At 46.9% G+C, this 15,433-nt stretch overlaps 5 annotated features.

Annotated features, from left to right (window-relative positions):
- Positions 2,272-2,773: an enhancer, noted in NCBI's record as "H3K4me1 hESC enhancer chr2:11001513-11002014 (GRCh37/hg19 assembly coordinates)". NCBI's record gives its function as "activates a minimal SCP1, AML or CMV promoter by ChIP-STARR-seq in naive H9 embryonic stem cells {active_cell/tissue: H9 hESC(naive)}" and the evidence as "EXISTENCE:reporter gene assay evidence [ECO:0000049][PMID:30033119]".
- Positions 2,774-3,275: an enhancer, noted in NCBI's record as "H3K4me1 hESC enhancer chr2:11002015-11002516 (GRCh37/hg19 assembly coordinates)". NCBI's record gives its function as "activates a minimal SCP1, AML or CMV promoter by ChIP-STARR-seq in naive H9 embryonic stem cells {active_cell/tissue: H9 hESC(naive)}" and the evidence as "EXISTENCE:reporter gene assay evidence [ECO:0000049][PMID:30033119]".
- Positions 4,768-4,817: a silencer, noted in NCBI's record as "silent region_11167". NCBI's record gives its function as "represses an Ori minimal core promoter by ATAC-STARR-seq in GM12878 lymphoblastoid cells {active_cell/tissue: GM12878}" and the evidence as "EXISTENCE:reporter gene assay evidence [ECO:0000049][PMID:35858748]".
- Positions 5,848-6,017: a silencer, noted in NCBI's record as "silent region_11168". NCBI's record gives its function as "represses an Ori minimal core promoter by ATAC-STARR-seq in GM12878 lymphoblastoid cells {active_cell/tissue: GM12878}" and the evidence as "EXISTENCE:reporter gene assay evidence [ECO:0000049][PMID:35858748]".
- Positions 14,742-15,001: an enhancer, noted in NCBI's record as "active region_15314". NCBI's record gives its function as "activates an Ori minimal core promoter by ATAC-STARR-seq in GM12878 lymphoblastoid cells {active_cell/tissue: GM12878}" and the evidence as "EXISTENCE:reporter gene assay evidence [ECO:0000049][PMID:35858748]".

Raw genomic sequence — 15,433 nt, forward strand, 5'->3', positions numbered from 1 at the left:
AGCACATTTTACTTTTGTCCTGTTTTTCCTCCCAACTGTATTCTCAGGGAGAATCACCTGAGCCCAGGAAGCTGAGACTGTGGTGAGATGTGATCGTGCCACTGCACTCCAGCCTGGGTGAAGGCGTGAAACCCTGTTTCAAAAAAAAAGAGACATGAAGAGACTCTGTGAATCTGTCCATTGCTGGTGGGAATGTAAATGGGCACAAATACTCTGGCATTACCTAGTAAAGCTTAAGATGCCCGTATCTTAGTACCTAGCAGTTCCACTCCTCGGTATGGAGCCTAGAGAGAAAGTCTTACGAAGAATGCTCATAGCAGCATTGCTCCTGGTGGCCTAAGATTGGAAACCACCCAAATGTTCATTGGCAGCGAAGGGATAAATAAGTTCCTGTATAGTTACATATTTACATAGTAAGTACTGATATTTACATAATGGAATGCTACAAAGCAGTGAAATCAAAGCCACTCCAAATACGTGCACGAAGAAGAATAAACCCAGAATATACAGTTGAGCAAAAAAAAAAAAAAAAAAAAAAAAAGCAGTAGGAGAAGAATGAGTCTATATCATTTGTGTAAAGTTCAAAACTCTGCAAAACTAAATACATCTTCAGTGGTACAAACATGATAAAACTATGAAGTACAGCAAGGAAATGTAATCACACGACTTATGAAATTCATGATCAAGGCATAGAGGTGGCTGCAAAGGTACCTGCTGTGTCCTGGTTCTTAAGCAGGGCCGTGGGGCTGTCGGTATTTGTAGCACTAGTGGTCTTGACACCCTACGCACTGCTTATAAATATCCTGTATCTATCTATATCTACTAATTTCTTCTATATCTGCTCAATAGAAACAACGGTTTAAACACTTTGAGTTTATAAGGGAATATCATTATTGCGTCTTCCTGGGCAGACCTGCCTTGCTTGTAACTGCTTTTGTGCTTGTACAGAGGTCCCCGCTTATCTGAGCTTTTGCTTTCTGCAGGTTCAGTTACCCCTGGTCAACTGAGGCTTGAAATATTCAATGCGTAATTCCGGAAATGAATAGTTCATAAGTTTTGAATTGCACACGGTCTGAGGAGTGTGGTGAAGTCTTGTGCCTTCCCACTATGGCTCCCTAGGGTGGGATTCCTCCCCGTGTCCAGCGTCTCCACACCGTAGACACTCCCTGGCCGTGAGTCACTTAGTAGCTCTCTGGGTGATGGATGTGCTGTCGTGGGATTGCAGAGCTTGTGTTCAAATAACCCCGATTTTACTTACTAGTGTCAAGTGCAAGAGTAGTGATGCCACATGTGGCCATCCTTGTTCTATTTTATTATTAGTTATTGTTGTTAGTTCTCTTGCTGTGCCTAATTTATGAATTAAATCTTATCATAGCTATGTATGTATATATGTATAAGAAAAAACATATAGAGGATTCAGTGCAGTCTGCAGTTTCAGGCATCCTGGGGGTCTTAGAAGGTAGCCCCCAGGGATAAGAGGGGCCCACTGTAATTGCTAACTAGACTCTACTGAATACAAGCCTGATTTCTGTATGCGGTGTTTGTACCTTGGACAGCAGGAGTGAGGAGGCTGCCATGTTGCCAAGGGCCAAGACAGGAGGAAGGCAGAAAGCGGGTTCCTGAGGAGGCCACCCTGCACTTCCCCATGGCGACATCAGAGGCAAGGAGCTGCCTGTCCCTCGGAGCCTGTGCAGACCTTTTCGTCCAAGAGTTTAGCCAGGCCAACACCAGGCGTTCCTGGGCCCTAGGAGATGCCATGCCTGACAAATCACCAGAGAGTGAGCCTTTAGATTTGGAGATAAGAGTGGAATACAGAAAGCCGGGGCACCGGGATCCTGCCTTACCTATGGTTGCCAAGGTTACCAGTGCCTCATGTTTCTTAGTTACCACTCATCCCAAAATAGCCTCCATTGGTGCCAGCCAGCAAACTGCATTCCATATCACAATCATTTTTTTTTACCCTGTTTTGAGGGGAGGAAAAGGAAGTCACTTTACACCCAATAAGGTTATACAAAGCACACACAACTTGTTTCCTCATCTGATCTTTACCGTAGGTGGGTGAAAGATTACAATCTCCATTTTACAGGTGAGAAAACAGACCCGGGCAAGTGACCGGCCAACGTCAGATGACTGGCAGGTATCAGAACTAGAAGGAGCACCCAGACTTTCTGAGGCATCAGTCAGAACCCCTCCTACACTGGGACATTGCCTCTCACCGCTGGCATTTTGTTCCAGCCTGGGAGAGGCTGTGCTGGCCCCACAGTCCTCTATGGCAAGTGGAGGGTGTGGGGCAAAGGGTGTCCCTTGGTAGCTGCCACGGCCACTGCCCTCCACCCTATTCCTTCCCAACAGAACCCCAATTCTCTTCAGTTGTGGGGGGTCTAGATGATGCTTGAGACCTTCTCCTGCCCTAGGGTGTGCAGGTTGATTAGTCATAATGGTAATTCTATGCCTTTTGCTAGTGGTTGTCAAAATGTCGATATGTGACCTAATTCCAGCCAATAGAGGTTGGAGTAAATCTGCAGAGGCCATTACTTCTGGGAAAGATGTTTCTCTGTAAGAAAAGTAATTATCAGGAGGAAATGCCCCCCCCCAACTGGTGTCTTTTTGTGTGATATCAACTATTCGATGGTATGTGGCTGATGATGGTTAAGTGCAAGGATGCAAAGCTCTGGGGCTCAGCTCTGAAAGGTCACCTCCCCATCAAAGCCAGGCCGCCTCCATCCAGCACATCTGCATGGGGCCCCTTGGATTTTGCCTGTGGGCTTGTGCTTGTGGCAGGCCTCTGCTTGCCTGTCTCTCTCTGTATTGTTGGGCTGTGAGCTCTGTTTTCCTGTGTCCCCCTATCCTGTTGGGCTGTGAGCTCTGCCTTCCTGTGTCCCCCTGTCCTGTTGGGCTGTGAGCTCCCTGGTGCTGCACACTTGTCCCTTACTGCCCCTCCCCAGTGCAGTCTTTACATGGTCGGGGGCATGGTGGGGAAGTCCCTGAAAGCAGGGCCGTTTCATGAATTCTTCGTAGTCCCTATGGGAGGTATTCGTACCCCTATTTGTGAGGGACCCTGATGACTCTCTTTAGAAGGTCCTTAGCTTCGGTTCTTATAGTCAAAGAGCAAGTACCGCTCCTCTCAGCATCTTCAGAGACCAGGCTTGTTTTGGAACTCTGTCAACGGAAAGCCTCCATGGTATAGACAACGATCATTGCCACCATTTGGGGGGTTTTGTTAATGTGCTCTAAAAAGGAGGGCCGCCTCATTCTCTCCCTCCACCTTTCCTAAGGGCCTGGTGCATGCTAAGCACTGGGCTCGGAGGGAAAGCTCACTCGATGGGTCTCCCACCCGCAGAGCCCCAAGCCCAGCAGAGCCCACACAGCCAGAGAGAGCCCTGGCGGCCTAGGGCCCGGTGCTGTGGACAGGAGCCCACACTGTGCCATGGGAGAGGAGCGGCCCCTGTGTGTGGGAGGGGACAGAGGGCAGGCAGACGCTGACTGGCTAGTGGAATAGAAAGGACCTCAGACCAGAGGAGGCAAGAAGCAGGTGGGCCCCAGCGTCCCTGTGCAGCCCGTTTGGAAGTTTATGTGGGAAGCTGTGGGAGGATAGAGTGACTGTGGCTCCTGAGGGCCCGGGCCGGGAGAAGATGGGGGTCTCTGTGTGACCTGCAGTGACTGGGAAGACACTGATGGCTTCAGACTGGGGAGTGAGCTGTGCTGCTGGCCGCGGGAGGCAGGTGGCTAAAGGAGAGTGGAGCAGGGAGGCCGGCTGGGAGGTGGCTGCGGTAGGTCCATGAGGGTCCTGAGGGATGCAGGAGGCGCTGCCTGGCGGGGAAGAGGAAGGCAGCTTGAACACACGGGGCCAGTCCTGGCTTGGTCTCCCCCAGTGGATGGACCCAGGTCATGTTATCACTCCTCTCTGGGTTTTTAGTTTCTCAGTGCAAGCAAAACGAAGAGCCACCATGATCTCCCGCCCTGGGCCTCTGCATTCCCGGCTTCTCTTGGCATGAGCTGTGCCTGTAGAAATCGATGCGGGTCATGGTGCTGACTGGATGTGCAGGCCAGAGGGAGGGAGACTCCGGGGTGGCACCCCTGCTTCTGGTCCTTCAGGGTCTGGGAGGGCAGGCTGTGAGCAGGGACGAGGGGGTCAGGTGCAGTCAGCTCTGTGCGGGGAGGTGACAGGCTTGGTGTGACTGCTGACGCTGACATGCTGGCAGGACACCGGGGTTAGGGAGCAGGTGTCCAGCAGGTGGCTGGAAGAGGTCAGGGCTGGAGCCCTGGTGTGGAAGTTCTTCACATGGAAGGGAGAGGATAAGATAGGCAGGGATGAAGTAACTGAGGGAGACGATGTACAGAGAAAAACCAAGAGCAGAAACCTGCAGGTGCTCTCCTTTGGGGATCAGAGAAGCATCAAGAAGAGGATTACGTGCAGGAAAGTGGCAGAGACGTAGTTCAGGAAAGCCTACCAGGAGAGGAGGCGTTTAGAGGGATGATAATGTGGTTCATTATAGACATGAAAATAATCTCACTATCGTCATAATAGGTGTGAGACTCCATTACAAAAAGCATGTATGAAATCCCTTCTGGATTGGGCACCATGGCTTATGTCTGTAATTCCAGCACTTTGGGAGGCCGAGGTGGGAGGATCACTTGAGTCCAGGAATTTGAGACCAACCTGGGCAACATGACACTACCCCATCTCTACAAAAAACCAAAAAATTGGCTGGGTGGGTGTGGTGGTGCGTGTCTATAGTTCCAGCTACTTGGGAGGCTGAGGTGGGAGGATCGCTTGAGCCTGAGAGGTGGTGGTTGCAGTGAGTCAGCTGTGTTAACGACACTGCACTTCAGCCTGGATACAGAGCGAGACCCTGTGTCAAAAAAAAAAAAGAAGAAGTAAAGAAAACACATACACACACCCACACAAACACACACACACACGCGCACACACACACGAAACCCCTTCTGTAAACAAATGAGGATGTGGTCAGTGCCCTTCAGCTCAAGCCACAGACCAGCATCTGAACAACCCTGGGCTCATTGCAACCAGGAAGGGAGCACACTGCGCAAGGCCCTGGGGTGTCTCAGGAGAGGGGTTCAGGAAGGACCTGCTCACTTGGGCTGCATTAGGGGATTTGGAAGAGGTTTTAAGGATGCGGAGCTTTCCTCCTTGGATTGGATTCTATCGGAAAGCAGGGCTAATTCTGTGAATTGTGGTCTTAAATCTTTTCCAGAAGGAGAGAGGAATGAAGTGAAGCTAGAGCTGTTCTTGGTGAATAAACTGCAGTCCCTCATAGTAGCCAGGCCAGGGAGTGTTTGAAACAGCAGGAGGGACGCCTGAACTCTTAGGGGAAGAAAGCAGGAGATAGTGGGTGCGGTGACGGGAGGGAGTGGAGGATGGCCTTTCTGTAGGGAAGGAGGGGGCTGGCTTGGGAGGAGCAGAGAAGTTAGGACGATCCTTCTGTGACCCACACAGACAAAGAGCTCCCGGTCATGGCTTTTTGATATAAAATCTCAGCCGCTGAGCTCGCTAGCATTTAGGACTCAGGAGCGCACACGGCTGCGGTTGCTTGTTTTTCCAGCCGTCTCTTCATTTCTTTGCTTGATTCCCAAGCATGTGTCAGAGTTAATGGAGCGGTTCTATTATTAAACCACTTAGAAATTTAAAAGGCAATGTACTCAGGTTTGAATGGGACCATTAGTTATTGGGAAAACAACATTTGTAAGAGAATTCCTTATAAAGCTCAATGTTACCCCTTGGAACCACATCCCTGAAAAAAACAGGATCACCTCCAGAGCTTAGAAACCGGCTACTCTGTGCATTTGGTAAAAAGCAAAGGCATCTCTATTTCCAGTGGAGTGCTTCACGAAACACTTCAAAATATAGATCTGAAACTCGCTTTCTGGTTTAGTGTCTACCGAGAAGGTGAGATTCAGTTTTCACTTTTGAAGAAGTGTGCAATGCTGCTGAAAGCCACAAGGGCTTCCTTTGGCAGAACCTACACCTGCTAAGATGCCAGGGCGCCATGCGCCGTTCTGTTCTTTACTGAGAGTCATCAAATGTATTTTAAACTATATTTTTGTTGATGGAGGCATGGTGGCTTTAGGATATGGTGAAGATGTGGAAGGGGCCGGGGTGGGGGACTGTCAGCTGGGCAGTCTGGAGAGAGTCCTAGGAGGTCTTGTGGCATTATCTGTGCCCCAGTTCTATTTCCTGCTGGCTAGCAGACACAGAGCAGCCTCGACCTTGGCATTAACCCATGTTTGCGTGGCTCAGCAATTTACAAGTCTCATCCATAGGCATTACTTCACCCATTTCAGATCTCTCTCGGAAACAGGTGCAAATAGTTTCCTTCAAAGGGCACACATTGCTCACACAGTCAGAGTCAAGGCGAATTTGAATTGTACCCACGAATTTGAATTGTACCCAGTTCCAAATTTGTCTGGCCTCTATGTGCCAAGTTAGACATATGTATGTGTGCATAAATGAGGTGTCTGGCACGGGACCTAGAGGCAACTGGGAAGGGTGAAAAGCTAGATTTGGAGCTATGAAGACCTGAGTTCAGGTCTTGGCTTGGTCTCTTATTAGTTACTTGACGTTGGGCAAGTTATTTGCCCCTCTGAGGGTAAATTTACCTCTTCTACAAGATGGAGCTGGTTACAGTACCTTCTTCTCAGAGGGATTTCGAGGCACATATGAGACATGGAATGTGGAAGCATCTTATAAATGATGAAGCACCCTGCATTGGAGATCACCGGCAAACTCAGCGTGTCTCACGGAGGGTGTGATCAGAACGCTGGAAGACCTTGGAGTCCTATCGTGTGTGATGGTGAAAAAACCAGCATGGCTTAGCCCCAGAGACAAGTTCATCCCTCACTGCCAGTTTCTGGCAGGTCGACACGGTGTAGAGGAGCTATGACAAAGCGAGTGGGTCCCTGGGGGACTTCTGCTGAGTCACCTCTGAGTCTCAGTGCCCAGCCCGGTGCCCAGCACATGATGGGGAAGTAGAATCTAATCGAACAGTGACCACTAGGAACCACAGGTGCACTTCTTCTCTCCTTTGTTCCTCCCTCTTCCCTCTCCTCCTCCTGTTTATTTTTGTGTTAGTTCTCTCTGGCTGATGTTCAAATAGCTCTAATTATTGAGTTGTCATTTTGCATTTAATTGTTTGCCCATGAGTTGATTCACTTATTTAACACAATTTATTCCAATGCACACACTTATTGTGCAAAATGAGAGCATTTAGCTGTGACATTGACAGGGGATCAGAGACCAGGAACAGAGTTCAAGAACGCTCTTCCTGAGCAAGTCAGCTGAACACTACTCCCGCCCCAAAGCCTCCTTAGTCAGGTAACACTGCCCCCACCCCAAAGCTTCCCTATCCGTGAAACTGGGAAGAAGACAACTCTGTCCTCAGTATTGTGGAGCAGATCACATATGTGTGAACACTCTGTATTAACTGAGAAGATATGAGGTCTTTTTCGCAGAACAGATGCTTCCCAGAGAAAACCAGACAGTTGCCATCCAGAAAGAGGGGTGATGACGGTCAGCGAATTTATAAGGTAGAGTCTTCAGACCAGGGAAAAATCACTTTCAGGGATTCTGGAAGCTCCTGGGGAGCACTCATGGGGTCATCAATTCTTGCTGAGGAAGTTAAATCAATCAGCAGTAGTTCCCAGTTCTCTGCAAATGCTATAATGTCCTTGGGGGATATTAAAGCTACTTTTTCTCTAAAAGAATGAGGAATGGGGAAAGGAGTTCATAAAAGCTTGTTCCATTCAATGCTGAGCTATTTGGTGTTTGAAAAAAATCTTTGTTTGCTGCCCTAACCAGATGAGTGGCTTAAATAATATAAATGTATTTTCTTACAGTTCTGGAGGCTGGAAGTCTGAGATTGGGCTGCCAGCACAGCTGGGTTCTGAAAAGGGTCCTCTTCCTGACTCCTGGATAGCTGTCTTCTTGCTGTGTGCTCACACAGCCACATCAGAGAGCTCTGACTTCGCTTCTTTTTTTTTTTTTTTTTTTTTTTTTTTTTGAGACAGAGTTTCGTTCTGTTGCCCAGGCTGTAGTGCAGTGGCGCGATCTTGGCTCACTGGGTTCAAGTGATTCTCCTGCCTCAGCCTCCCAAGTAGCTGGGATTATAGGTGTGTGCCACCATGCCTGGCAAATTTTTTTTTTGTGTGTGTGTTTTTAGTAGAGACAGGGTTTCACCATGTTGGCCAGGCTGGTCTTGAACTCCTGACCTCAAGTGATCTGCCTGCCTTGGCCTCCCAAAGTGCTGAGACTACAGGCATGAGCCACCGTGCCCGGCCTGACTTTGCTTCTTATAAGGACAACAGTTCTACCCCATGAGGGTTCCACCCCTTATGACCTTACTTGACCTTCATCTCTTCTTAAAGGCCATATTTCCAATACAGCCACATGGTGGGGGAGGGGGGCTAGGACTTCAGCGTATGATTTTTGGGGGCACACGATTTAGTCCACAACAAATTTCAAGTGTGGAGTCTGCAGAGGTGGAAGGGGCTAGGGTTTAGGAGTCAGACCGACCCAGGTTCTAACCCTTCCCTGCTGCCCATAGCTGAGAGACTTGGAGCAAGTTTTTAACCTCTCTGAGCCTGTTTCCTCTTCTGTAATGGTGATAACAAGGTCATGCCTCCCAGGCTCTGTGTAAGAATTACACCAGGTAACGACTATGAAGCACCAGGAACTCCACCTAACATGTTGCAGCACTCAAGATGAGTTAATGCCTTCCTTTCCCGGCCTCTCCTGAGATGCCACCTCTTGGCATTTTGCCTTTTACAGGCTGGGGAGGTGAAGCTGCCTTTAGGATCTGCTTCTGCTCCTTCATTCTGGAATTCTGTCATATGGAGACTATAGGATAGTTCCTAGTAGGGCACCTGGGCTCCATCCTTGGCCCCAGTGAGGATAATAATCCCTAACTTTCACAGTTATGAAGATTAACGAAGATACCACATGGGGAAATCCTCAGTTCACTTGTTGGCATGCAGTAGATAATCAACATTCTTGCCCTGTGGCCCCGATGAGCCCTGAGTTGGGAGGATGTCAGTAGGCAAAGATTTATAGAGCATCTGCCACATGCTGGATGCCAGGGGTATAAGAGAGGAAGAGATAAGCACAGTCTCTGCTCCTGTGGAACCAAGAGTGCTCGGGAAGAAGGGAGACATTAAACAGATTGTTATGAAGAATGATAAGAGCAGGGCTGTGTTTTGGAAAACCTGTGTGCAGAATCAGAAAATGTTGTCTACAGGGGCTGTCAGCCACCATTGTGTTCACCAGAGCGGGGAGGGGTTTTTCCCAGGCTCACACAGCGAGGCAGTGGCAGAGGGGTTGACCATACCCTTCAATATGCCCTTGATCCAGCAAAAGGGTCGCTTGAGGAAATAGAAAACTGACAAAATAGGGCAACTGGGTGTGTGGCTGGGCAGAGGGGTACCTATTGTGGGGGCTCAGGAATACTAGCTCTGGCCTACTGTTCCCTCAGCCATCCCTGCAAGGCTGTGGCACAGGCCAGGCCCAGCTAAGGGCCTGCCTCTGGCACTGGGCCTGCTGTGTGCCTGGAAAGCTCTGAAAGGAGCGAGCTGGGGACTCAGCATTCCCATCTACCACCTCCAATCAGCCACAGAGAGACGATGCTGCTCCCCCTGGCCCTGGCTCAGGGCTTTAATGCTCGATCTCATTTAGTTTATCCCCCAAACCAAAGCCCGTGAGGGATCCTTGATCCCTGTCTCTGGGCTGGAATGTGCCCAGCAGCACAAAGCTGGCAGATGCCTGAGCCAAGGTCCAAACCACTCCTGTGGGTTTCCAGGCCCTGGTTCAGCCCACCCCATGCCACGGCCTAGGGGCCTGCGGGACACAGGAAGCTCGGGGCTCAGGCCCACCTGACTGGGGCCTCTGAGGCTCTTGTTGCTGCATAGAAGCCATCCCCCAGAGGGGCCATCCTCGGGCTCGCCAGCTCATTCCTTCTGGGAGAGGTGCCCTGAGAGAGGGGTGCTGAATTCCTGCCCTAAGTGCCTGGCGCCTCATCACATGCCAGCTCAGCTTCCAGCTATGCATCTCCTCTAGACCATCTCCTGTTTTGGTGTCCTCCGGGCAGCCACTCAGGTCTCCGTGAATCACAGAGCCACTTCTTAACCCCTGGTCCTGCTCGCAGTGGGAAACAGAATTCCACTTGTCACAAACACGCTCACAGGAATTGAGGAGCCTCTTCTGTGGATACTATCTAGGCACAGTGATCGAACGTGCTTTGGACCGGGGCTTGGGAGATGCAACTTCTGGCCTTAGCTTTGCCAGAGACTTGCTGGGAGACAAGGGCATGCATTTGCCCTTCTCAGGGGTGTTAAGAGCTCTGTAGTCTGCAGAATGCACGGGTGGGCTGGGTGATATGAGACAGCCAGATTGGGTGTAAGTGTCATCCAGATTTGGAAGAAGGCAGGTTTGGGGTGGAATCTTATTTATGCCACTTACAAGTTGCGTGACTTGAGATGATCACTCGACCTCTTTAAGGCTCGATTTCCTCATCTATCAATCAAAGATGATAATCCCTATGCCATGGAGGATTTCATACGAAAATGCATGTAACAGTGAATGTTCAGTTAAAGATCACCGCTCTTTCACTCTCCTGCTGCTGGTGAGTTAAATGGTGTTCCTCCAAAAGATATGTTGAAATCCTAACCCCCTGTACCTGTGAATGTGACCTTATTTGGAAATAGAATCTTTGCAGGTAGAACAAAATTGAGATGGGGTCATACTGAATTCGGTGGGCCCTAATTCAATGATCGGTGTCCTCTTAAGAACAGAGAGATTTTGAGACACACAGGCAGATCCCCATGTGAAGACAGAGGTGGAGACTGGAGTGAGGAGTGGTTGCAGCTACAAGCTAAGAAACACTAAGCATTGATGGCCAGCAGTGGAAACTAGGAAAAGGCAAGAAGGGCTCTATTCTGAGTGTTGGGGGACATGGACCTGCGAACAGCTTCATTTCAGACGTCTGGGCCCCAGGACTGTGAGAGAATACATTGCTGTTGTTTTAAACCACTCAGTTTGTGGTGATTTGTTGTGGCAGCCTTAGGCAACTAATACACTGTCCTTAGTCTCATTCCAAATAGGAAATTTTAGAATTTTATCCATTTAATTGCTCAGTTGTAAAAGAAATATGGAGTTGTGGGGGAGATACTCAATGAATATGTGTTGGCTCATAAATGAGGTAAGGTGGGGGTAGCACAAGAGAAATGTGATAGAAAAAATGTGGAAGTCCTGTTTCTGCATTCCTCAAGAGAGAATTTTAGAGGTCAGAACTGAAAGGTCTCTACCCCTGCCTTCCTCTCTCTGGCCCATTTTAATGACAAGGAATATATTGGCTTAGGCAATGGATGGACAGTGACTGATGCTATCAACGTCTGCGCTAATCCAACATATAACACCCTAGAAGACATCCACTTTAAACCCTTGAAACCTGTCAATGTCACCTTATATGGCAAAAGATGTGGTGAAGGATATTGAGAGGAACCAAGGTGGAGGCAGCCTGTTTCTCTGGGTTTCTCTGCTTACCAGGCAGCAAATGCTTTCAACCATTTCTATCTTTGTGTCTAGAGTGTGTCTTCTGCAGGCAGCATGTAGTTGGATCCTGTTTTTAAAATCCAGTTTGACAATTTCTACATTTTGATTGGATTGTTTAATCCATTAACACATAATATTACTATTGATATAGTTAGTTTTACATCTATTATTTTACTTAAAAAAATTTTTTTTTACAAATTTTCCTAGGAGCTGGAATTACTTTTTGTTGTCTATATGTCTTATGTCTTTTTCTATCTTCTATCCCTCCTTTACTTCTTTCTTTTACATTAAGCGAATATGTTCCAATGCAACATTTTAATTACTTTAATAATATTCCCTCTAATTTTTGGAGGGTTTTTCTCCGGGGCTATTCTAGGGCTCACCATATACATCTTCATGTATCAGAATCTGCTTTAGACTTACACTGACTTAATTCCAGTGAGATTTAATTAAGTTCCAGTAAACTTAGTCCTGTATAGTTCTATTCTCTTTCCCACCTTTTTGTGGTATTATTGTCAGACATATTACATTTATATGTTATAAACCCAGGAATACATTGTTATATTATTACTTTATGTAATTTTATGTCTTTTAAAGAAGCCAAGGAAAGAAAGGAGGGCAAGTATATATTTATAGCTTATGTTATACTAACCTCCATATTTCCTATTTCTGGCTCTCTCCATTTGTTCCTGTAAATTGAGTTACCATAGGGAGTTATTGCCTTAGCTCAATACAGCTGTTTTCCCACCCACTTCCTTTGTGCTGTTATTTATGAATATGTTCCATTTCTACATGGTTAGGCTCAACAGTACAAGTAAGTACATATTGTTTTATATAATTGCTTTTTAAATCAGTTAAGAAAGGAAAAGAAATATGTCTTTATAATGTCTTTTATAATTATATAATTATCTATACTCATGGTCTTTGTTTATCATGTGGATTTGAACTATGGTATTGACTTACCTACTTTCAGTCATAAGAATTTTTTTTTTGAGACAAAAAAAAAAAAAAAAAAAAACAGAATAGCTCTGTCACCCAGGCTGGAGTGCAGTGGCATGATCTTGGCTCACTGCAACCTCCACCTCCCAGATTCAAGCGATTCGCCTGCCTCAACCTCCTGAGTAGCTGGGATTACAGGCTCATGCTACCACACCCAGCTAATTTTTGTATTTTTAGTGGAGACCAGGTTTCACCATGTTAGCCAGGCTGGTCCCAAACTCCTGACCTTGTGATCCACCCACCTCGACCTCCCAAAGTGCTGGGATTACAGGTGTGAGCCACTGTGTCTGGCCCAGTCATAAGAATTTATATTGGCATTTCTTCTAAGACATGTCTGCTAGCAATGGATTCTCTGTTCTTGTTGATCTGAGAATGTCTTTATTTTTGAAAGACAGCTTTAATGAACACAGGATTCTTTGCTGACAGCTGTTTTCTTTCAGTACTTTGAATGTTGTCCACTGTGTTCTGGCCTCCATTGTTTCTGATGAGAAGTCAGCTGTTGATCATGTTGTGACTTCCTTTGATGCGTCTGTTTGTGGATGTCTTTGTGTTCATCCTATGTGGAATTTGTTGAACTTCTTGGATGTGTAGATTAATGTTTTTCATAAAATTTAGGAAGTTTTCAGCTATTATGTCTTTGAATAATTTTTCTGCTTTTTTCTTTTTCTTTTCTCCTTCTGGGACTCTCATTATGCATATGTTGATGCATTTAATGGTGTTCCACATTTTCCTGAGATTCTGTTCATTTTTCTTCATTCTTTCTTTTTCTCTTTTCTTCAAATTGCATAATCTCTATTGATCCATCTTCAAGTTTGGTAATTCTTTCTTTTGCCAGTTCAAATAAATCTTTTGAGCCCATCTAGTGAAAATGTCATTCCAGTTATTACTTTTCAACTCCAGGATTTCCATTTGGTTCTTTTTAAGAATTTCCATCTCTTTAGTCTATATCAATAGTCTCTATTTAGTTCAACATTGTCATCACACCTTCCTTTACCCTACTTTAATCATGGTTTACTTTACTATAATCATGATTTCCTTTAGTTATTTGAATATATTTATAATAACTACTTTGAAGTCTTTGTCAAATTTGATAGCTGGTTGCTCTCAGTTTGTGTTTCCTGCTTTTCCACTCATATATGGGTCAGATTTTCCTGTTTCTTTACATGTCATAATTTTTTGTTGGAAATGGGACATTGTAAATAATACAGCAACTGTAGAGATGGGTTCTCTTCTCCTCTGGGGCTTGTTAGTAATACTTGATTGTTTATTTGTTTAGTGACTGGCTGTGAAGTCCACCCTCCAGTCCCCACAAGTTAAAGCCTCTGATGTTGCTCCTCAGAGGCACAGCCTTGGGCATATGCACAGTTACCCTGGGTTAGCAGCAGATTTGACAGGGCTCTCTTTGATTGTCTTTTTCCCTGACCACAGCCATATGTTGTTAAACTCCACAAATTGCTGGCTGATTTCCCTGTTGTTTTCAACAATGCCCTAGGTTGCTCTATTGACTGATTCAATTAAATTTGGGCTTCTCTAAGGAATAGCTTTTTGTTGTTGTTGTTTCATTCATTAAATCATTTAGAAAATCTTTATTGACTACCAGCTCTGTGCCAGCCCCGTGGGAGGCACCAGGGATATGAGTGTTAACATGACAGCCCCAGTGCCTGCTGTTGGGCTGAACTGCCTCTGACCAGCACTGCAGACTCAGACGTATCACTGATGTGGAGACATGCTTGTGTGATATTTAAAACCTGCTGGGTAGCATTTTGGCAGAAAATGCCATTGGTACTTTCCAGATACAGACTGTGAGAGCCATTTCAGGGACCAGTTTTTTTTTTCTCCCTTCTTTCCCCCAACCAACAACCTCAACTTCTCTGGTGTGAGAGGCGGGTGCATAAAATTAGCCAGGCCAGCAAGAAAAGTGGTCATCCTGAGGCTGGCAGAAGCAGCTGAAGCTGCCCCTTCTGTGGCTTCACCCCCATCCTCCAGCTCACTGGCTCCCCGTGCCCTGTAGAGAAATCCATCCTTGAGAGGATTAGGGGCTGTGCCAAGAGCTTCACCCCACCCACCCACCCACCCACCCATCATAGTCCATTTTAGAGTGACAGCAAGGCCTTCACTGGGTAAGAGCCGTCTGACTCGTCTGCCTTCTGAGTGCCTCCATTTGGTGAGATGATAAAGTCACTGATGAGAAAAGGTGGGGCCAGGAACAGAGGCAACTGTGGCTTCCCAAGAGAAGTTTCTCAGGGGATTTCTCAAGCAGAATAAATTAGAGCTTCTTAGAATGACTCGATCCTGGCTGTGCATCAGGCAAACGTTCTCTTCATGGCTCATTTCCGGTTCTCCTGGCCTGACGGGTGTTTCCAGATTATAGGTGAAAAGCAGTCACTTGGTCCCATACCGCATGAGGCCCACAGTTATCTTTGACAGCTGATAAGAAGTGATGATGATAAAGTCAATTCTGTTTCCTTAGATGTCTCCTCTCACAAACAAACAAGCAACCTTCACACTCCTTCCTGTGCCCTCCTGGCACCAGCACAAGCTACGTTCCAGCACAGAGCTCACTCCAAGGATAGGCAGTGCCAGCTCTTGAGCGTGGTGTGGCCTCTGCTGTCCTTAACTCTGTTGCACTTCAGCAGCACTTCCATCTCCCTGACATTGTAGACCAGGAACTTCTGTAAGCCACTAGGCCCCAGGTGCTTTGTGTTTTTGTTGCTCCCATAACCAATGTTGGGCATTAAGATCTGGCCCTTGCACCTTCTACAAACCCTGTTGTCAATACCTCTGGGTTTCCACCTGTTATGCTTCATTTTGACATACGTCTGACTGGTGCTGGATGAACTTCTTGGTCCTCTTTTTTATGATCTTGAGTTTCAC

This window comes from Homo sapiens, chromosome 2, assembly GCF_000001405.40.
Source record: "Homo sapiens chromosome 2, GRCh38.p14 Primary Assembly".
Taxonomy (NCBI): Eukaryota; Metazoa; Chordata; class Mammalia; order Primates; family Hominidae; genus Homo; species Homo sapiens.